This window comes from Homo sapiens, chromosome 10 (genome assembly GCF_000001405.40).
Source record: "Homo sapiens chromosome 10, GRCh38.p14 Primary Assembly".
Classification (NCBI taxonomy): Eukaryota; Metazoa; Chordata; class Mammalia; order Primates; family Hominidae; genus Homo; species Homo sapiens.
In genome coordinates, this window is record NC_000010.11 from 100,777,218 (window position 1) to 100,797,245 (window position 20,028).

General features: G+C 50.3%; 1 protein-coding gene across 6 annotated transcripts in view, besides 5 other annotated features; it reads left to right on the forward strand.

Moving 5' to 3' along the window:
• The window catches only part of PAX2 (paired box 2), a 94,549-nt gene that overhangs the window by 41,822 nt on the left and 32,699 nt on the right, over positions 1 to 20,028 (forward strand). For 4 of the 6 annotated variants that reach the window (NM_001304569.2, NM_003988.5, NM_000278.5 and 1 more), the window contains 2 exons: positions 2,281 to 2,366; positions 4,029 to 4,148. In NM_001304569.2, coding sequence (NP_001291498.1) covers positions 2,281 to 2,366; positions 4,029 to 4,148 — 206 coding nt within the window. Of the gene's footprint in view, positions 1 to 2,280; positions 2,367 to 4,028; positions 4,149 to 9,725; positions 9,795 to 20,028 lie in introns of all 6 variants that reach the window. The other 2 variants (NM_003987.5, NM_003990.5) reach the window with 1 other exon arrangement.
• Positions 9,616 to 11,121: an enhancer, noted in NCBI's record as "VISTA enhancer hs229". NCBI's record gives its function as "enhancer in: heart[3/5]" and the evidence as "EXISTENCE:transgenic organism evidence [ECO:0001131][PMID:17130149]".
• Positions 9,616 to 11,790: a biological region, named in NCBI's record as "VISTA enhancer hs229".
• Positions 10,887 to 11,790: an enhancer, noted in NCBI's record as "NANOG-H3K27ac-H3K4me1 hESC enhancer chr10:102547861-102548764 (GRCh37/hg19 assembly coordinates)". NCBI's record gives its function as "activates a minimal SCP1, AML or CMV promoter by ChIP-STARR-seq in primed H9 embryonic stem cells {active_cell/tissue: H9 hESC(primed)}" and the evidence as "EXISTENCE:reporter gene assay evidence [ECO:0000049][PMID:30033119]".
• Positions 13,157 to 14,070: an enhancer, noted in NCBI's record as "H3K4me1 hESC enhancer chr10:102550131-102551044 (GRCh37/hg19 assembly coordinates)". NCBI's record gives its function as "activates a minimal SCP1, AML or CMV promoter by ChIP-STARR-seq in naive H9 embryonic stem cells {active_cell/tissue: H9 hESC(naive)}" and the evidence as "EXISTENCE:reporter gene assay evidence [ECO:0000049][PMID:30033119]".
• Positions 14,457 to 14,633: a silencer, noted in NCBI's record as "fragment chr10:102551431-102551607 (GRCh37/hg19 assembly coordinates)". NCBI's record gives its function as "represses an EF-1alpha promoter that drives an FKBP-Casp9 reporter gene in an ReSE screen in HepG2 liver carcinoma cells {active_cell/tissue: HepG2}" and the evidence as "EXISTENCE:reporter gene assay evidence [ECO:0000049][PMID:32094911]".

The following is a 20,028-nucleotide window of genomic DNA, read 5'->3' on the forward strand; positions in this document are numbered from 1 at the left end:
CAGCCTCCTGAGTAGCTGGGATTACAGGTGCATACCACCACACCTGGCTAATTTTGTATTTTTAGTAGAGTTGGGGTTTCACCATGTTGGTCAGGTTGGTCTCAAACTCCTGACCTCGTGATCTGCCTGCGTCGGCCTCCCAAAGTGCTGAGATTACAGGCATGAGCCACCGCATCTGGCCTTTTTTTTTTTTTTGAGATGGAGTCTCACTCTATTGCCCAGACTGGAGTACAGTGGCTTGATCTTGGCTCACTGCAACCTCCGCCTCCCGGGTTCAAGCAATTCTCCTGCCTCAGCTGCCTGAATAGCTAAGATTACAGGTATCTGCCACCATGCCTGGCTAATTTTTGTACTTTTAGTAGAGTCGAGATTTCACCGTGTTGGCCAGGCTGGTCTCAAACTCCTGACCTCAGGTGGTCCACCCGCCTTGGCCTCCCAAAGTGCTGGGATTACAGGCGTGAGCCACTGCACCCAGCCAGTAGTGTGATCTTGAGTGAGCTACTTAAACTTGTCTCAGCTTTGGTTTTCAATTTGCAAAATGAGGATAATAGTCTCTACTTTGGAGGTGGTTGTGCGAATTAACAGTAATATATATGTCATATAAATTGTGTATAATATTGGCACATAGTAGATGTTCAGTAAGTGGAAAATGGTGATGGTTCTCATCACATCCAAGTTTTCATTCTTGTTTCCTCTTAGTCCCTTGCCTGTCTCCACTCATTCTGGCTGACCACTCTGGGCATTAACCCAGAAGGCAGCAGGCTCGCGTGGCTTCCGCTTCCACCAGCTTGTGATGCCCTCCCCTCTACTTCTTTGTTCATCTTAGGATCAAGTTATTTTTTACTGGGGAAAGAGACAGTGGAGATCCTGTAGTCCAACCCCTTCATTTAAAGCTGAAGAAACTGAGGCCCAGAGAAGTTGAGAGGTGAGACCAAGGCTATGTGGCTTCTTAAATGCAAAATCAGAAGCAGGACTCAGGGCCCCTGCCATGCAGCCCAGTGTCCTTTCCGCCATCCTCTGTGCCTCTGATTTCAGCCCTACTTGGCTTTGAAGATCTACATCAATTTCCCTCTGTTCAGCGACTTCTTCCGCAGTTCCCTCTCCTGCAAGGGGAATGGTTCCTCTCCTCCAAGTTTCCAGCACTAACTACCTGATTCCCTCGGGTAACTGAGCTTTTTTGGGGATTAAGTCTCCCCTCCCCACCTTCATATCCAGCACTGTGAGCTAGGGGCCTTATCCCAACTGCCTGCAAGTGTTCAGGAAAAGCTTTTAGAGCTGACTTGCTCATGGCTTGTGACTCACCTGGCTGGTTGAGGTGAGCTTGGCTCACATGCCTCTCTGTGGGGACAAGGAACGCTATCAGAAAAGTGGCTTCCAAAGGCCCCTCATTTGACCAGTGGGTAGGGGGAGCATTCCTCCGTCTTGGCCCTGGGACTGGTCTTTGGCATCATTGAGCCCTCGGTTTTTCAGATCCCTGAAAAGCAGGCTCCTGGAATGTTTGATTTGGCCCCTTCTCCCCAGGATGTACAGGGAGGGCACCAGACCTTTCAACCAGGCTGGCAAAGACGCTGCAATCCAAGTAAGAACCTCAGAAAAGGAGGCCAGCAAACCAGCCAGCCATATAGGAACAGGGCTCTGACTTGTTTGAGGGCAGTAAGTGGGCTCAAGAAGAGATTGTTCAGCCTGACATCTGGCAAAGGGACTGTGTGCTGTGTTGGAGTCCTGGGGACAAAAGAAAGGGTCACCTGTGACCCAGCCCCTCCCTGGCTACTTCTCATTCTTTCAGGATATGGGGAAATCTCATCCTCTCAACTCTGAAGGACTGTGACACAGTCCCAAGTAGGAAAGCCAGCTCCAAAATGATCTCAAAACCCAGGAGGTCCTGGTACCAGGAAGAGATGCGTGTGTGGTTGAGGAGAGAAAGGTGGACAACAAGCCACTAGGGCAGTCCTCACCCTGCAGAAAAAGAAAGGATGCTGTGCTCACTGGGTCTCTGCCCTGATCTTTGCTACCAAAAATCAAACAATAATTTGGGTGATGCACATAGCAGGACATAAGGCAGGCTGCATTCACCCAGAGCTGCATTACGTTGGATCTGCGGAGCCAACAGAAGGAAAACCCTGTGCCTTGCAGCAGTCAGTGAGGGCAGGGACACAGGGAGCAGATGGATGAGGAAATCGCTGAGGAACTTGGGAGAGAGCCCCTTTGCAGGGCTGGGCTGGAATTGGCCGGGATAGGAGTGGGCATTTGATGTGTGATGCTGTTGTGACGCTGTTGCAGAATCATCCGGACCAAAGTTCAGCAGCCTTTCCACCCAACGCCGGATGGGGCTGGGACAGGAGTGACCGCCCCTGGCCACACCATTGGTAAGAGGGCTCAGGGAAGGGGAGGAAACCAGATCCCACCTAGAGAAAGGCAGGAAACGCAGCTCCACCCCTGGGAACTGCCTGCCCGCTTGAGGTCCAGAGCCCAACCTATTTGCCAACTCCTCTCACCTGAGCTCCTGTCCACATAGGGTCTTCCTGAGAGATACTGGTTCTCTAGGACTGTTCTCTGCCTCCCACTTGTGTCACCTCCCTCTGCCCTGCTTTAGTCAGTCCCTATCCTCTCCCCTCCTCTCCTCTCTCTTAAGTGTTTTTCTTCTAGCATTTCTTCTTCTTTTTCTTCTTCTCCTCCTCCTGCTTCCCTCTCCCTCATTCTCCAACATCTTTTGTTTTTATCTGATTCTGTCTCCCTACCTGTGCCCTCTTTCTTTTATATCAACTTTCTTATTCCATCTTTGTTTAACATTCCATCTTGTTCTTAACATTGTCCTCTGTCTTCTCCCCTTGGCTCCTCTTCTTTTCTCCCTCTGCCCTTCCCTCTCTTCTCTCTTCTTCTTAGGTGTAGCTCTGGCTCTGTTCTGTCTTCCTCCTTCCTCATGGCCTCTTTCCTCTTGGCCTTTCTCTCTTGATTGCTCAGCCTCTGTCTCACCCACTCTGTATCTCTCATCCTTTCTCCATCCTCCTCATTCTTTGAGCCATGCTTAGGGCCTCTCAAAGACGTGACCCAGGCCTACTAGAACACCTGCTAACACTCCTCCTCTGTCCCCAACGCACACAGACTAGCTTCCCTCTGGCCCAAGGAGAAACTTGGTGCTACTGTAGCCATAGATGAGGCCCGGGGTTTGAGGGGCTGGGATGTGGTTACATTTTTCCTGCTGCTCCTCTTGGCAGTTGTCTCCTTCTGTCTTGACCAGCAGGTAATAGAAATGACTAGTTCCAGCCCTCCAGGAGTTGGCAGGAGCTGTTGTTTACTAGGCCAGTGTTACAGTGTGTGCTGGGAGGGAGGGTTGGGCCAGGCTGTACCTGAGTTGATCACCATAGAGCGAATGGGTTCACTAATCTTGCCCTAAGGGGGAAATTAGGAGTTTCTCAAGTGATTTCAAGACCAAAAGCAGCTGAGAGAGAGAAATGCACACTCCTGGGGAACATCAGGACCAGTCTTGTGTCTCCTGGAGAATCAGAGACAGATCTTAGAAAGCCACAGACTCTAAATCAGGATTGGTAAAGACTCAGCCCAGGAGACTGAGAACAATGAGCTGGGGCTTCATTAGAAGGGTTTGCCCAGCCCCAGGGATTGGATGAGCTGTGCAAGGGGGTATCCAAGGAGCTGTGCTCTCTAGAGGACCATGGAGGTGCTGCCTAGAAGGAGACAGGTTTGCTGTTTCCTGGGCCTGTACTCCATCCGTCTTTAGGAGAGTGAGTTTGAGAACCCCAGTGAAATCCACAGGTCTGCAGAGAAGGCCTGGGGTTAAACTGGGCACCACTTACCTCAGGGCTGGACAGAAGTGAATAATAGCCTGTATATGGCAATGCAGTCCCCTCTTAAATAGACCCCAGAGGAAGTAGAGGAATGAGAGGAACGTGGGCTCCTCATCCCTCCTTATGTCCTCTGCTTCTCTCTGCCCCCCAGCCTTGGGGCTTTGGCCTACGATCACAACTGCTAAACTGCTATCCTGATGCCATTTCCTCCTTCCTCTCATCCAGTTCCCAGCACGGCCTCCCCTCCTGTTTCCAGCGCCTCCAATGACCCAGTGGGATCCTACTCCATCAATGGGATCCTGGGGATTCCTCGCTCCAATGGTGAGAAGAGGAAACGTGATGAAGGTAGGGAGGAGGGAAGAGGTGTGGCTTCCCCTTCACATGCTTTGTCCTTGGACTCCAAGCTCCGGTTTCGGCCTGGCCTCGCAGCTGCTCTGCTGTGAGATCAATTTTAGTAGCAAAGCCCAGGTCCCCCCACTGCCCTGCTGGCTCCTGGAGAGAGGGAGGGTGGCTGCTAGTGGGGCCATCAGCTTCACCATCTGCTCAGCAGCCCCGGCTGCCTCACCTGCCACTAGGGCTCACCCTATCGATCCCTGTGGGATGTCAGGAGGAGAAGCAAGAACCGTTTACCTTGGGAAGGTTTTGGAGTTGGGGGAACAGCTGGTCTCTGGCCTGAGGATGAAAGGCCAACCTACCTTGTCCTTACCTGATCCCAATCTGTCTGGAGGTGAGGTAGTGATGTCATGTGCAGCCTAGCCTGGTGTCCTTTCTCTTTAACACCTGCACACCGCCCCCAGTTCAAACCTCACAGGGAGCTGGACATGGGACCCCTCTCTCCTCTTCTTCTCCATGAGTAGAAATGCCACTCCAAATCCCCTGGCCCTCTCCCTCACCTCCCTGAAATGCCTCAAGGTGCAGCCAGGCTGTTAGGAAGGGTGTCAAAGGGAAGGGGGAAGGAAGAGGAGGAGGAGAGAAGAAAAGAAATAAGGGGGAGAGTGGTAGGGATGATCCTGGGACAAAGTGTTTTTCAAATGTCGTGACATTGGGGGTCCCTTGGTGACCATCTGGTTCTCTTCTGATGCGTGAAGCTGGGGCACAGGGCTGGCAGACCCTGAACAACAGAGACACCAGTGTCTCCGGCCTGCGTCCTGCCCCCATTTTCTCATGGTTCCCGCTGGAGAAGTGGTAACCTCCTGGCCTTCAGAGGATTTTAAAGACATCTCCCAGGAAAGAGGCAGAATCCTCAAACAATGAGCATAAAGGGGTGACCATCTATCCCATTAGCCCAGAACAGTCCCAATTTATGCCTGTTGTCTCTGCATCTTGGCCAGTCAGCATCTCAGCATCTCCCTTTTCTCTCAAAAATGTCGTGTTTGGACAATAAATTATGTGGTCATTCCACACATAGACAAACCCTCGGTAGGGGAAGCCTAATGGAGTGAGGAGCAGAGAAAAGGGACAACACTGAGCTTGCCTGGGCCCACAGTCCAAGATCCCCCAGCCTAGGCTGAGGGAAGAGAGTGGGAGAGGCCAGGCCCCCAGCGGAAGGGACAGCGTGGAGGGGAGGCCTAGGCCTGACAAGACAGTGATGACCTGGCGCTGGCCTCCTTCCAGAAGCCCTAATGGCCTCGTTTCACAGGGAAACAGCTTGTCTGGCTCTATTTCTCCTTCTTCCAAAATATCCAAACCGATTTGGCCGCCACGGCCTTTGCCATTCACTAAATTTCATTGTGGTTGTTTTGGCGGCGGCCCCTGATGGGCAGGGGGAGGTTGTGGGAAAGGCCCTAAGTCCCAGTTCTCCCTGAGGCTCCCTGTGCTCAGGCCTTGGCCAAGCTCCTTGGCACCCCAAGTGCTTTGGTAGAATCTGCCTCAAACCCTAAAGGTCTCTCCCTTAACCAGCAGCCCCTGTGTTTTTTAGGGGTGAGAGGCCCAGCAGCCCATGGGAGGCCACAGATACCCCTCTGTACTCTCCCTTTTCAGTCTGAGGCTGTGGCCAAGTATGCCAACCTCGTGGCCAAGTATGCCCTCTGCTGCATGGGCTCCTGTGGGGCAAGAAAGGCTGGGGGTAGGGAGGCACTGGCATGAGGTTGTGGTCACCCAGGGCTGCGCCTGGCTGGCCCAGAACAGGGCGCTCTCCTGAGTGGTTGATCGCCTTCATTGTTTCTAATCAATTCAGTTCAGTGAACCTTTCCTGGACATCAGTTTCAAGAAAGGCTTGGTACTATAGGATCCCAAAGCAGAACAAGATATGATTCTTGTCCTTAAGGAGCTTACATTCTAGTGGGGCATGTTAAACATGTGAGCTCAAAGAGCAGATAGGCCCATCAGATATCCTGTTGCGATGGAGGTCTGGTGGCGGGCCACAGGAACTGGGCTGGGGAGGGAGTACATGGCCAGGAAGGGCTGCTCTTTGAGGAGGGGCCTGAGGGATGAAGAGGAGAATGTTCAGAGACAATGGTAGCCTGAAATTCTATCTGATAGACTGAGCCTTGTGACCAGAAGGCCCTTTGGCCAGCCACTGCAGGGCAGCTTTAGCAGGGATAGAAGGCACAAAGAGATGTGGTGGACAGTAAGGCTGAGGAGACAGGTTAGGGCCACAGGATAGCAGGCCAGGTCTAGACCATAGAAGGAGTTTGGGCTTTTTTTTTTTTTTTTTTTCTGAAAGCAGGAGTAGTCTGAGCAGGAAGGGACAGGAGCAGGGCTGGGTTTGGGAAGCTCATGCTCCAGCAGTGTGACAGTGATGCACCAGGGCCATGTTGCAGGAAGCAGTGAAAGCCTTCAAAGCAAGAGATTACGGTGCCCCCAAGTTTCCTCTGAAACATTTACCTGCTGGGCCTATCCGGGTGGCAAGACATATCAGAGGCCTCACTCTTTTTTGAGAGACGGTTCTCCTCCTCTTACCAACTCCTCTTGACCAACCCCAGGCCAAATGGAGATGTATTTTCCCTGGTGGAGGCCTGGCCTATGAGGGAGACCAGTTCTCCCTGACCTCCCCCTCCAATCCTGATCCACCAGCCCCTGGTGGGAAGGGAGAGGAGAGAGCAAAGGTAGAGCTGTGGCAGCCCCTCCTCCCCTTTCCCCCACTCTGGATGCTTCTAAGGAGCCAGGCCCAGTTTGCATTAGGGAGCAGCTCAGATGATTAAGAATAAGGGAGATAATTATGTGTCAAGATGATGTAGCCCAACTCTGCAGTCAGGCCAAGGTAGCAAAGCAGCTGGCAGGCCAGTCACAGAAGGCAGCCTCGGGCATGGGCTGCAGACACCCAGGTGTGTCCTTCAGTGACTGGGCCGGGACTGCAGCAAAAGAGAATACTGACCAGGGGACTAAGGGGTGTTGGGATGGGACTGAGCACGCACATTAAAGGGCTAGACCCTAGAGGGAATGGAGGGGCTCATCTCCCTCCAGGAGGACCCTTAAAGACCCTGCCAGACTGGCCCTCCTTTGGCCCCAAGCACTGTGGCATCTTCCTAGGAGTGTCATACCCCAAGGGCAAGCTGTGAATCTCTTTGTCCTCCAGGAAGCTGCTCCTCTTTTGCTCTGGGTACAGTTCGGCCTATTCTTCAGCTCTAACAATGTCACGGTGATGGGCATTAGTGAGGACAATCACTGCAGTGAGTGCTGGCATTATTGGAGACAATCTCAGCAGTAGTTATTGGTGTTCACAGTGATAATGCCCAGAACATTATTGGCACTGGCACTCGGAATATGGACAGTGTTATTAGTATCTGCAGCAATCATTTCCCTGGGGATATTAGGAAAGGACTGATCAGCTGTGACTCTGGGGAAAAACTGGCAGTGACTGTGAGCCTGTTTGAGACCCCTTCCCATGCCTTGGCCTTTGAGAGTATGGAAAACACCCCCTGACTTTCCCTTGAGAAATGTGCTGGTCAAGAGGCTTTGACCCTCATCCCAAGAGCCCAGGAGCTCCCAGAATGAGACAGGTAGACAGTCCAGATAGATGAGGAAGTTATGTTCTGAAGCACCCAGAAGACAGGCTGTCCATCAGTCCGAGAAGGTAGAATCCCCATTCATATCATTCAAAAATCCTCACTTCTTAGCTGTAATTATGGGTGGGCATGTTAGTGCTGGATTCCCTGGGCCCTTTGAAGGGATGCCAATTCCCTGAACACTGTGTGAGCTGGTTTATGTGGCTGGAGGAGAGAGATTCTTGTATTTCCCTATCTACAATCAGGCTGAAAACTGGAAGTCCTTCGCCTTTACCCAGTTGCTTTCGGCTGGGGCCCAAAACATTGCTGTTCATCGGTGATGGTATTGAAGCGCAGGGCAGTTACACAACTTGTCCAAGAATCCAAATGAAGTCATATGGTGAGAATCTGCTGGTCTGTGTGAGGGAGGTGTGTTGGGATCATCCTTTGAGGTGTGAGATTGCAGGGGGCCATGATTTTGCATTCCATTCATTAGGTGTACAATGAATTGTGCCATTGAGTGGTGCCAAGCTGGTGCAGTTGTGCGTTTGCAGGCAGGGCAGGTTGCATGGCTGCAGATGGCCGAGTCCTGTCACTGCCTTTAATAGCTCCCTTCTGCTTTGGATGAAGCCATAAATGGAAGAAGCAGTTTATTTCCTTAGTTAGCTACCATCCTAGAGGTCCCCAAGAGTGTTGCTCAGGTTAGACTTGGAGCAAATGAGGGGATTAAGCCGTGGAAATGAGAAGCACCTGCCCTTGTCTACGAGCCTGGCTTGAGGCAGCAGAAGGTTGCAAAGACTCCCACCAGGAAGGAAGGCACAGGGTAGGAGTGAGCATGCCATCCCTAGAGCAGGGCATGGATGGGCAGTGGGGCTCAGTGGGAATGAATGTGGCCTCTGGAGTGAGCACAGCAGGGTCTGAATCCTGGTGCCCCTCACTAGTTGGGCAAGTCACCTAACCTTCATCAGCTCAATCTTCTCCTCTGTAAAATGAAGATGGTAATGGCACTTCCTTCCTGGGGGCTGTGGAGAGGATTCCATGAGGTCGTGAATTTAGTGTTGAGCTGACTTCATCTTGGAGACGCATCCTTGTGTATCTGGGAAAGAAAGCCTAATTGGCAGGTTTATGTTTCATGAGGAAATGAAGTTGTGTTAGAAAGAAATTTATTTGGGCATAGGCGCCCTAACCTTGGTGCAGCTCCTTGTAACTAGGGCAGCCTTTAGTGGATGCTGGGATTAGCTAACCCGGATGGGACCAGCGCAGTGGAGGAAAGCTGTCGTCCTCACACCCGGGATTGGGAGAACGTTTGTCCATTTCTATCTGTTCATTTACTCTGTGGTTACCCACTTGGGCCACATGTCATCTTTCAGCCTCCACAGGCATTTTAGGTGTGTATAAATAAATAAACATAAGATCCTCTTCTTTTTCTAACATGTGGGCATCTCTCCCTCTATTCATCTGTGGACATTACTGCTCCCACATGCAAGTTTATTTCTTTACCTTGGAAAATGTATGTTTGTTTTATAAACCCAAATGTAATTTTTTACACAGTTTATGCAAGTGTGAGTATGCATGTGTTCTACCGCTCTGAGGTCTTTGGGTATAAGGGGATGGGAATGTCATGCACTGGGAAGGTGTGCAGTTACCTGGGTAGTGTGCGTGCTTGGAGAGAGTGCCGGGTGTGACTGTGTGAGCGGGGAGAGCTCTAAGCCAGGCCTCAGTGTGTTGAGCGCCCATGGTCCTGGGCACAGGCATCACCCTACCTTCTGCTGATAAAGGGAGGGGCTGTCCTGAGCCTGCCTCCAGGGGTGGCCTAGGGCCCAAGACTAGGGAGACTAAGGCCCTTACAGCCAGGCTGTGAGGGAATTGCAGCTCAGAACCCTTGTAGCCCTTAGAAGGGGAGTCTGGTCTCCCGATCTTGGGATCCTGCCCCCAATCTTCTGCCTGCCTGTCTTTCGGGATCTCTCAGTGTTTGTCTGTCTCTTATTTGCTCTAGTTGAGGTATACACTGATCCTGCCCACATTAGAGGAGGTGGAGGTTTGCATCTGGTCTGGACTTTAAGAGGTATGAGGGCCAGAGGGAACATGGCGTGGGGGTCAAGGGAAATAGCTTGGGGGTGGCGGTTAGAGAACATTCAGAGAGTGGGTTCCTAAGGGCCAGAGCATGGAAAAGGAGGAGTTGGCTCAGGCTTCCACTGGGAGACCTGGAGGCTAACAGAGTCTCAGGGCCTGGATTACTTCCGCCATGGGCCACTGATGGGGTTTGGGAGCTGAGGCCCCGGTGGCCTGGAGGGTCAGGCACTCAGTGGATGGGGGGTCACTTTTTCTAGCCCTTGGAAAAACAAAGAGCAGATCGGGTAGTAAAACAAAAGCAAAGGAGACCTGGAAGCACCTGACAGCCCTAATTCATCACAGCCCAAGTTTTTTCCTGTGTTCCCATTATATTTGTTTGTAAAAGTGGAAATCAATTTTGAAGGTAATTTTCTGGAAAGAATGGAAGGGAGGTGGGAGGGCCGGATAAGGCAGAGATGGTAAAAGGAAAAATTTAGGCCAGGCACAGCCCAGGGGCAGCTCTTGGCAAGGTGAAAGAAAATTGCATATTCAATCTCCATCCATGAATCTTCCTCACTGCTGCCCGCCTCCTGCTTGAAAACAATGAAGGCTTTTTCCCAACGCTGGGCAGGGCCTCGGTATCAGCCTCACTTTAACTTCAGGGTCATTAATTCCCTGATTATTGAAGGAGAAGAGAGGGTTGCAGCATCGTCAATTCCAAAGGCACCCCCTCATGTGATCGGGCACTGGCTGGGGTTGGGTGGGGGGCACCCAGGGCAAAGTGAGGTGTTGTTTGAGAAAGGTGTGAGGAGCGAGGAAATGGGGGAGCCACTGGACTATGGGGGAAGGAAGCCAGGAGGGTGGAAGAAGGCAGTCATTACTGCATACCTCTGTTGTGTTGTTATTGCAAATTAAAAGTAGCATGTTCCACTCCACAGCTATCTTTGGGGAGGGAGGGGCACCGAGGGAGGTGGGGGATCTTATCATTGCTTCTTCAGCAGACCAGCCGTGGTGTCACCGTGTGAGGTGACATTTGAATTTACAATTCCGCTGAGAAAAGCCATTAATTCACAAATTAACATTTCTCCCTCTCCCTCTCTCTTTAACACTCTCTCCCTCTCTCACATGGATGTGCAAGCAATTGAAAAGACAAAGGAAATAGCCTTAAGGAAGAGACTTTACTGCTAGTCTGTGCTGAGATTGCTCCCCCTGCTTCCAGATAGATAAACCAATTACCTGAGCAGCTCTGCTCCTGGCCGCCCGCGATCGCCTCCTTTTGTAGGCTGCCTCCATGGCTGGATTACACTCGGTGTATCTCATTAATGTAAACCAGGCGTGCCCTGGTCACCAAGCTCTCTTCCCGGCTCTCCTTCTGGAGGGGCAGTGGGAGGAGGGCTGGGGTCAGTAAAGGCAGGCAAGGAGGACCCCGAGGAAGACCAGAGGCTGCCACTGCCTGGCTTCCCAGGCCCTGGGCACTCGGGTGCAGCCTGCCATGTTGGCTGAGGCTGATGGGGGAAGTCGGTGGGTGAGCGCTCCTTGGTGGGCTTGCTCTGAACTGAGTGAGGGCTGGGTATGGCTGGGGGCAGAGGAAGGAGACAGGGCCTGAGTCTCTCAGCGGCATTTTGGTCCAGATGCAGGGGGCTGGCAGAACCAGAGAGGGATCTGAGTGCTCCCTGCTTGGGAAGAGCTTGGAGAAGTTTTGCTGAGTACACACTATTTTAGTGGGATGGGATTCAGCCTGAAGGAGCTTGGAGAGAGGCTGAGGAGGGCCCAGGAGACTTGGCGAGGTTGCACCATATTGGGTAAACAAAAACCCAGCACTTGGATACAATTATGTCTGTTTACCACCTAATTCTTGCATGCACACACACCCCCCCCGACACACATACATGCACACCGACACACACACATGCACACCCAGCCATCCGACTCTTTTGCTAGAGAAGACGGGGAGAAGGAGTGTGCTCCCAGGTTTCTAAAGTGAGCTTACATCGTGGGTAGGGAATTGCAGGGCCTCTCTCTGCTTTTGCTCTCCTCCCAGACCCTGGTTCAGCACTGTAAGAAGGCATTTATGTTGGTAGGGGGCAGCTGAGCAGAGTTTTTGCTTCTCTCTCTCTCTTTTTTTTGGATGAAGTTTCACTCTTGTTGCCCAAGCTGGAGAGCAATGGCAAGATCTCAGCTCACTGCAACCTCTGCCTCCCAGTTCAAGCGATTCTCCTGTCTCAGCCTCCTGAGTAGTTGAGGTTACAGGCACCTGCCACCATACCTGGCTGATTTTTGTATTCTTAGTAGAGACAGGGTTTCACCATGTTGGCCAGGCTGGTCTTGAACTTCTGACCTCAGGTGATCCACCCACCTCAGCCTCCCAAAGTGCTGGGATTACAGGCATGAGCGACTGTGCCCAGCCTGAGTTTGTGCTTCTCTAAGGAGAGGTGCTCTGTGGATTATTGGTGGGATTCTATGATTTCACACACTGTACTATCTAGCACATCACAGACTCTCCCCTCCCTAGGAGACAGGCCCTATGAAAGTCCAGAAACCAAATCTATATGATGGTAACCATCTGTCTAGACAAGTTTCTGACTTTAACTGCATTGGCTCAACCTATGTTCATTTTCCAACTCATACCCAAAACCTGGCTAAGGTCCACTTAGTCCAAGAAAGAGCTGAGGTTCAAAGGTCAGCACTCACCAAAACACAGGGGGAAAAAAAACTCATTTATGAACACACATTCATTGCTATGATTATATCTCCCTAGTAACCAAGGAAATTAAACTGTTCATACCTGAGGGGGGAGGTTTTCTGTCTTAGTTGGATCACATATTTTAGCCAAACTCTCTGGGTAGAGTTGGCCGTGAGCCTGTTGAATACTGACTATGTCATTATCCAGAGGTAGGTGTAGGTTCTGTCGATGTTTTAGAAGGACCTTTATCTTGGGCCCTGTGCATAGGTGATTTGTACTTTTTTTGTGGGGAAGTACAGGGGTTTAGCCCTGGCTGTGTGGATCAACATAGGTGCATGCATCTGCATATAAGTCCTTGCCTTTATATCAGAGACAGCAGCCAAATCACCAACTACCTTTGCTTCCCAACTAGTTAATGCTGTTGTGGATGAAGAATTCCATCTGGTTGTTTGGGGAAGTATTTTGGGATTTAGCACAAAAGAGTATATATTTTTTCATACAATGCCAGAAATTCAGAATAGAGAGGTCAATTCCACCCTACCAGGAGAGAATATACAGAATTGCCCTAGAGGAGACTGTATGTGTCCATCCACCGCTGGAAATTGGGGTGGGCGGGTGTAGGTATACCACTGTCTCAGCAAAGGCTGTCTGGTACTCCTGCCCAGCTCCATGTTTGCACCCTCGTGGACGAGCACCCATCTTGTCAGAATACATCTTCAACTTCCTAGTCTTTCACTTGGCAACTACCTTCCAGCCCTGCAGGTAGGCATTGTTCTCCTTTCCCACCCAGCAAGGGCACCAAGCAGGAAATCTGCTGCCTCAGCTCTGCCCTTCTTCCCCAAGCACAGGCTATGGAAGCAGGAAGGAGGAGATGAGCGCCGAAGCTATCCCCGGGCCCTGCTACTCCTGAGTTCACCTCCCTGGGCGCCTCTTCCTCTGCAGACAAGCAGGAAGCTGAGAAGCGCAGGCCACTGGAAAAAGGGTTTGGAGAGGATGTAGGCTAGGGAGACCCCAGATCCCTGCCTGCCAGCGGAATGGTCCTGGCAGCCTCCTTGACCATTGCTGCCCGCCCTGGAGCCCAGAAAAGGACCCCTCCTGCCCTGCCTTCCTCAGAGCCATGGTGGCCTTAGGGCTGTCTGGGACCCTCTCCATTTTGCCCCATTGGGGTGGAAAGGCATAGAGGGCTGGGGGAGGGCTGGGCCTGGCTCAGGGGCTGCGAGACAGATCACGAGCCTCAGAGCCAAGTTGCAGCCTCAGAGCCGAGTTGCAGCGGAGCCAGTAATTCAAACCATCCTGACCCTTCGGTGAACCTGAACCTGCTGACCTTGACAGCACTAGACAACAGAGGCCTCACAAACCTCAACCTGCACGGAGGCCTGGCCTTCCCTCCCTCCCATTCTTGGAGCCCTGTGGCCCATCCTCCAGGTGGCTCCTAATTTGGCTGCCCCCATGAAATGTCAGCATCCCCTCCCTCCCTGAGGCTCCGCCTGCCTGCTTCAAAGCACCCTTTGTGCTCATCTCTACTGGAGACAAGTGTGTGGGCATCTCCTGGGGGCCTTTCCAGGACTGGGGCTGGGGCTTTATCCTGCAGGCAGAGCTTTTACACCTTGCCCTTCTCTTTCTGCCCCAGGCTTCACCTTTTTCAGGAGGACTGGCTAGAGTGTGTGTGCATGTGTATGTGTGTACATGTGTATGTGTGTGCATGTGTGTAAGGTTGGGGTACACACAGGGGCAGCAGTAGAATGTGATCCAGACAGCAGACAAGGGGAGGGAAGAGAAGCCAGAGGAAAGCAGCTCCAGGAACCTGCATTAAAGTAAATGCAGTTTATGAAGTTTATGCTTTCCTCCTAGGGAGAGCTGGATTCCATCCAACAGCCTCCCAGAGCCTGCCAAACAGCTCCTGAAGCAGAAAGTGTGAGCAGGAGAGCAAGCGAGCCAGTGACAGAGGGAGAGATGCGCGGACACACTCACACACCCTTGCTGGCTCACACAGATCTCCCTCGGCCCAGGCAGCCTGGGAAGCCTGGGATGGAGGGATGGGGACAGTAGGTTTGGTAGGAGTGACTCCAGGAGCCGTTCTTTCCTCCTTTCTTCCCTCCTCACCTGCCATCTCCATCTCTTTAGGCAGAGTGCCCAGCATGAGCCCTTGGGCAGTGTGGGCACCTGGGTGGACTGGTGGTGTGGGGAGCCGAGGGCACTGTGGGCCACCTGGGGCAGCCAGCTTGTAGGAGCCGCCTGGGTGAGGGACAGTGTGGGTGGTCTTGGGCAGTGGGTATGTGGTCCAGGCAGCAAAAGGGACCAGAATGCTATACAAAGGAACCTCTAGGGACTTGCTTTTTCTTCGGATGCTGGGGATCCATTTTTCTCTGGCATTTTGGTCTGAACCATGTGGGTGCCTTACAGCCACTGAAGATAATTATTGGAGTCTTTTAAGGAGAAATAGAGACCGTATTTTTTTTCCTGGTAATTCAAAGGAAATAAGTGGTTGACAATGTTAAAGTATGAAAGCTCACAGAGGGACTTAAAAGCAAGTTGGAATATTGGAGTATCTGTTCTTCTGGACTCTTCTTCACGTGCACAAGCACATGGGTTCGTGCGTGTGTGCACTAATAATGTGTAAGTGGGCCAGGACCCTTGACTTTAGATGAAAGGGGAGTGTGGGGGAGAAAATGCCTGGAGAGGAAGTCCGCAGCATAGGCCTTTGCTCTGGCCTGTGGGCTTGGCACCATCATGTTGCTTGCCCCTATGGCTTCTGCGACATACCTCAGCTGGGGACAGACAGTGAGAAGTCTATCTCCCTTCTCTTTCTGGGAACTCCATGTCTGCTCTATTCAAATTCTACCAGGAACTGAGACAGAAGAGGATGACAGAGGTAGAACCATCCAGAAGCAGAGGATGGGGAGAAGAGGGCAAAAGGATAGCGAAGGATGCTCAGAAATTGCTGACTGTGGAGGACGCCTTGGGAAGCCAGGAGGTGCTAGGCACAGGAGGCAGAAACTGGCCAAGGATGGCGTTGGTCCTTTCTCCCCCCTGCTCTCTCCCTCCCCCTCCCTCCCCTCTTCCCTCCACACATCTTTATTGGTTCTGGTAATAGCGTTGATTTGCATGTCAGGCAAAGCCTTGCTACACACACAAAAAGAAAACCCCAGCCCTGGCGGTGTGGCAGTGTCAGCTCTCGCTGTTGTTCGACAGTGTAAAATTAAATTAATAAAGCCCCCAACACAGGAAAACATAACAGGAAATTAATGGCCTTTACTGTCGCTCTGATGCAGTCATTTGCAACCCTGCTTTCCGCACCAAAGACTTCATAAATGCAAGCAGTTTCTCTAAACAAGCATACTTAGGGCGGCCTGGTATGTAATTTTTCGCCTTGCTTGTGTCCTTTGAGCTAACAAAGCCCCCTTTCCTCTTGGTTCCAGAGATTTCTAACTGGTTCTGGCCCCTGCTGGAGCCAAACGGGGACAGCACCAGGCAGAGGGCCCCACCCGCTCCCTGAGAGCCCAGAGAAGGCTGGGAAAGGGCTAGGGTCCCAGGAGCTAGACGCTCAGTGAGCCCTCCTTCCCCACCAGCCCCTGCAGCAGGCCAGCAGGACTGCATACCAGTGCTCCCAGGCAGGAAAGTTGATCTCCTCGGGGAATTCCCCTAAACCCACTCAAGGCTCACCCCTCTCCTTCCTCCCCGGGTCTGTCCTCCCTCTCCCACAACTTGTGTGTTCCCTTCCTGAGGCCTCTGGCCTTCACCTCCCTCCTTGTCGGTACCCACTCTCCACCGTTCCACTTCTTAATACATGGATCGCACACATCTAGGCTGGCTGTGACTTGGCAGTGGGGTGCCACGCTCTTCTTCTCCACAGGTAACCTGGGGGCTCTTTTTCGGGGGAGCTAAGTTATTCAAAGTGAGGAAAGTAAATGTGCTGGTACAATTCCCCGGGGTTCTAGGTTTCCTCCATATCTCCCTCTTCTCTACCGGTTGGTTAGGAAATGCCAGGGCCCTAAGGGGCCCCTCAGACAATCCCTCTGTCCTCGGCAGTTTTCAGTGAGCTAAGAGTCCTTGACTGCTTTGGTGTGTAAATCGGTAGGATACTGAGGAAACTGACACCTTCCTCTCTGGCCTCTCTGGGGATCTTTGTATCAATGTGGGCCCAGGTGCCCAGTGTGTTGGGAGGTATGAGAGGAGCAGAGAACCGGGATGTGACTCTCAGGAGCTTAGAGCCTGCTGGGGAAGGCAAGGCTGTTGCACTCAGACAATTGGCTGTTCATTAAATGCCCAGACACATGGCTGTGTGTTCCATAGGAATCTGGGGAAATGGACTAGAAGGGCAAGCAGGAAATGGGGCTTCAGCCTGGGAGCCTGGGAGTGGCTGAGATTGAGAGAGGCCTTGGCTGGGCTGGATGGTGACAAGGCAGAGTGTCAGATTCTTAAGGGTCATCCTGTCTTATCTGCCACTCACCATAGAACTCTTTCCTCCAACAGTTCTGCCTGAAAGGCCACAGCCCTGCCTGGACATATGTCAGAGATGGACAGTGGCCATTGTTTGTTTGCAGCATCACTTTATACCAAGTCATGCGGGTTGAGGGAAGACCACGGGACGTGGGATCCAAATGTCCAGATGTGGGTCCATCTCCACTCCCTACTTGCTCTGGGAACTTTGACTCATTACATAATATCTCTGAATCTCAGTTTCCTCATCTTTAAAATAGAGGTAATGGCATTTGCCACAGAGAATGGTGGTGGTGGTAAAGCTCTCCATTTGACACCCTCCCTTCCCTATCCTCCCTCCCTCCCTTTCATCCACTCCACCTTATTTACTGAGCTCTTGGCAAATGCTGGGCTGGGTCCTGGGTGGATTTCAGATTCTCACATGATATGGTTCCTGCCCTTGGAGTTCCCTCACCATCCTGGTTACCCATCTCAGAATTCATTATTGAAGGTTAAAGTTCCTCTGAAATGAACACTGAACTCCAGAGACAGTCTAACCAATGCCAGGCACAGTAGAGCCTTGCCACTCTCCCATCTGGAGACTCTACATCCATAATATAGCCTAAGATTACATTTGATTTTTTAGCAGCCATGTCAGACTCAAGCTCATATTGAGTTCGTGGTCAACTAAAACCTCGAGATCTTTTTCACATCAATTGCTATCAAGCCAGGTCTACCCCATTCTGCACTTGTGTAATTGATTTTTTTTTTAGCCTAAACATAGGGCATTCCATTTATCCCTGCTGAATTTCACCTTGTTGGTTTGGGTTCTTAATTCTACCCGATTAAGGTCATAAGGATGTCTTCTATATCATCATCCAACTAGTTTTTTGCAAAAGAGTTATTTTCCTTGAAAACACAGGAAAGCCACATGGCCCACCAATGGGGACCTCCTCCTGGCTGCTGTAAGTGAATGAATGCTTTGGGAACTACTGAGCCCAACAGCCATCAATCATTTTACTTGTTTTCATCTTGTCCATTATGCTAGGAAGGAGATTCTTGGTTAAATGTTAACACTCACTACTTCCACATAATTTCCTTAATAAATTATTTTTAAAAATCTGGTTTACATCGATGAGCAAATTGAGTGCCTGCTATGTACAAAGTATGGCAGGACTGATTTACAAAGGTAAATAGGACACAGTCCTTGACCTCAAGAAACTTACAATCTAGCAGGGAGGTAGACATACACATCATTATATAATCAGAATGTGATGAATGCCGTGATCAAGGCATGAAGTCATATGATGAACGAAAAAAACAAAGGAGCAGTTGCTTCCACTCAGGGCAACTAGGGAAGTGTTTATGAGGGAGGTATTTGATCTAAGCGTTGATATGGAGTAAATATGCCACAACTTATTTTTGTGAGTGCGTGCAAGCTCTGGGATATCACCATTTTCTTTTCTGTTGCCCATAAATTAACTGTATAATAATTTCATTTAAAGGATTTCCAGAGCCTGATCCTGAATTTATGATTTTGAGTGTCATTTGCATATGTGTACCTCTTCCCCCTTTTCTGACAGGCAGGATGGCCTTGGGCTTGTCACTGCCTCACCCTTTCTTTGTGACATCTCAGGGATCATCAACAGCAGTTTTAGGGTCCTGTGTGGACCTGGGAAAGTTCACTGAAATGGCCAGAGGTTACCTGCCTGGCCCCTCCCTGACCAGGGCACTAGTGCCCTCCTACTGGGCTCAGTTTGAAGATTCTTTCATTTGGAGAAGACAAAAGCAAGCTAAGGTTGAGAAGTTCTGCCTTCTCTCTCAATATTACATCCTCTTCCCTAGGACTGAGCCAAAACCTGCCTTTCTTTTCTTTCTTTCTCCAAGGCCCTTTTTTGTTGTCTCAGCTTGTTCTGAGCTTTTGTCTTCCTGACAGGCTCATGCCACCCTCATATCCATCCTTGGTTATGGTCCCCGCTTCCATCTGTCATGTATCCTGCATAAGAGGAAAAAAAGTGACTTCTATGATCCTAAGTGCAATACATGCTCATTGGGAAATACCTGGAAGAGATAGTAAATTTTTAAAAATTCACTCACAATGTCGTCACCAGGAGATAACCACTGTTGAATTTGGTATATTTTCCCATTCTCTTTCTTTTTTGTGTATATATAATTTTTTAATCAAAAATTGAACAATACCATATAAACAGCTTCATGTCTTGCCATTTTCACCTAACATTACTTAATATAGGACCATTTTCACATATCATTAAATATTCTTTGAAAACACGATTTTTTAATGGCTGCATAATCTTCCACTGTTCGATGTACATGTCCTTTTAAAATCTGGGATCATCATATTTTAAAGCTTATCTGTGTGCAACAACAGTGATTTTCCTGAAATGTCCTTCTCTTTTCACCCCTCCCCCACTCCCACTCCCTTTATGCTGTCAGGTTGATTATTTGAGCTTATAGAAGCAGAATTTCATTTTTAGAGCATCCCATCCTCGTGGAATTATGGTCTCTTTTAGAATCTCTTGCCATGGAATCCCTGGCCATGTCTTTCCCCCAGCATGGAGCATTTTGCTTTCTTCAGTTCAGATTCTGCCCTGCACCCCCTTCCTGAGCTACTGCCAACTCTAGACATGCTTGCTTTCTCCCTGCATCCCCATCATTTCCCTTTCATCAGTTTTTCTTTCTTGGTCAGAATTAAGTGGCCTGCAATAGTGGAAAGGGATCTGAGCTAGGAACCTCAGTTCCCATTCTTATGACGACTAGCTATGTGACATGGGAAAATTACCTAACTTCTCTGAGCCTGGCTTTTGGTTTTTGTCTTAATTTTAAATATCTAAGAGGGAATCCAATTAAATTCTCTTCATATTTTCCAGCTGTAGAACATGAGTGACACTGAATTCAGAGTAGCAGCCTCCTTTGTTGCTTCTTTTTCCTTCTAAAAGGTAAAATGTTGAGCATAACAAGTTAAGAACTGACCAATCTTTGCTTTTGGAATTCTTGTCAACAAATCAGCCAACATTCATGATCACTTTCTCTACATGAAGTTTATAAAGTTGAAAACTATGGGACCCCTGCCTTCAAAATTCACAGTTCAGAGGAGAAAACAAACATTAAATAATAACTGTGATAC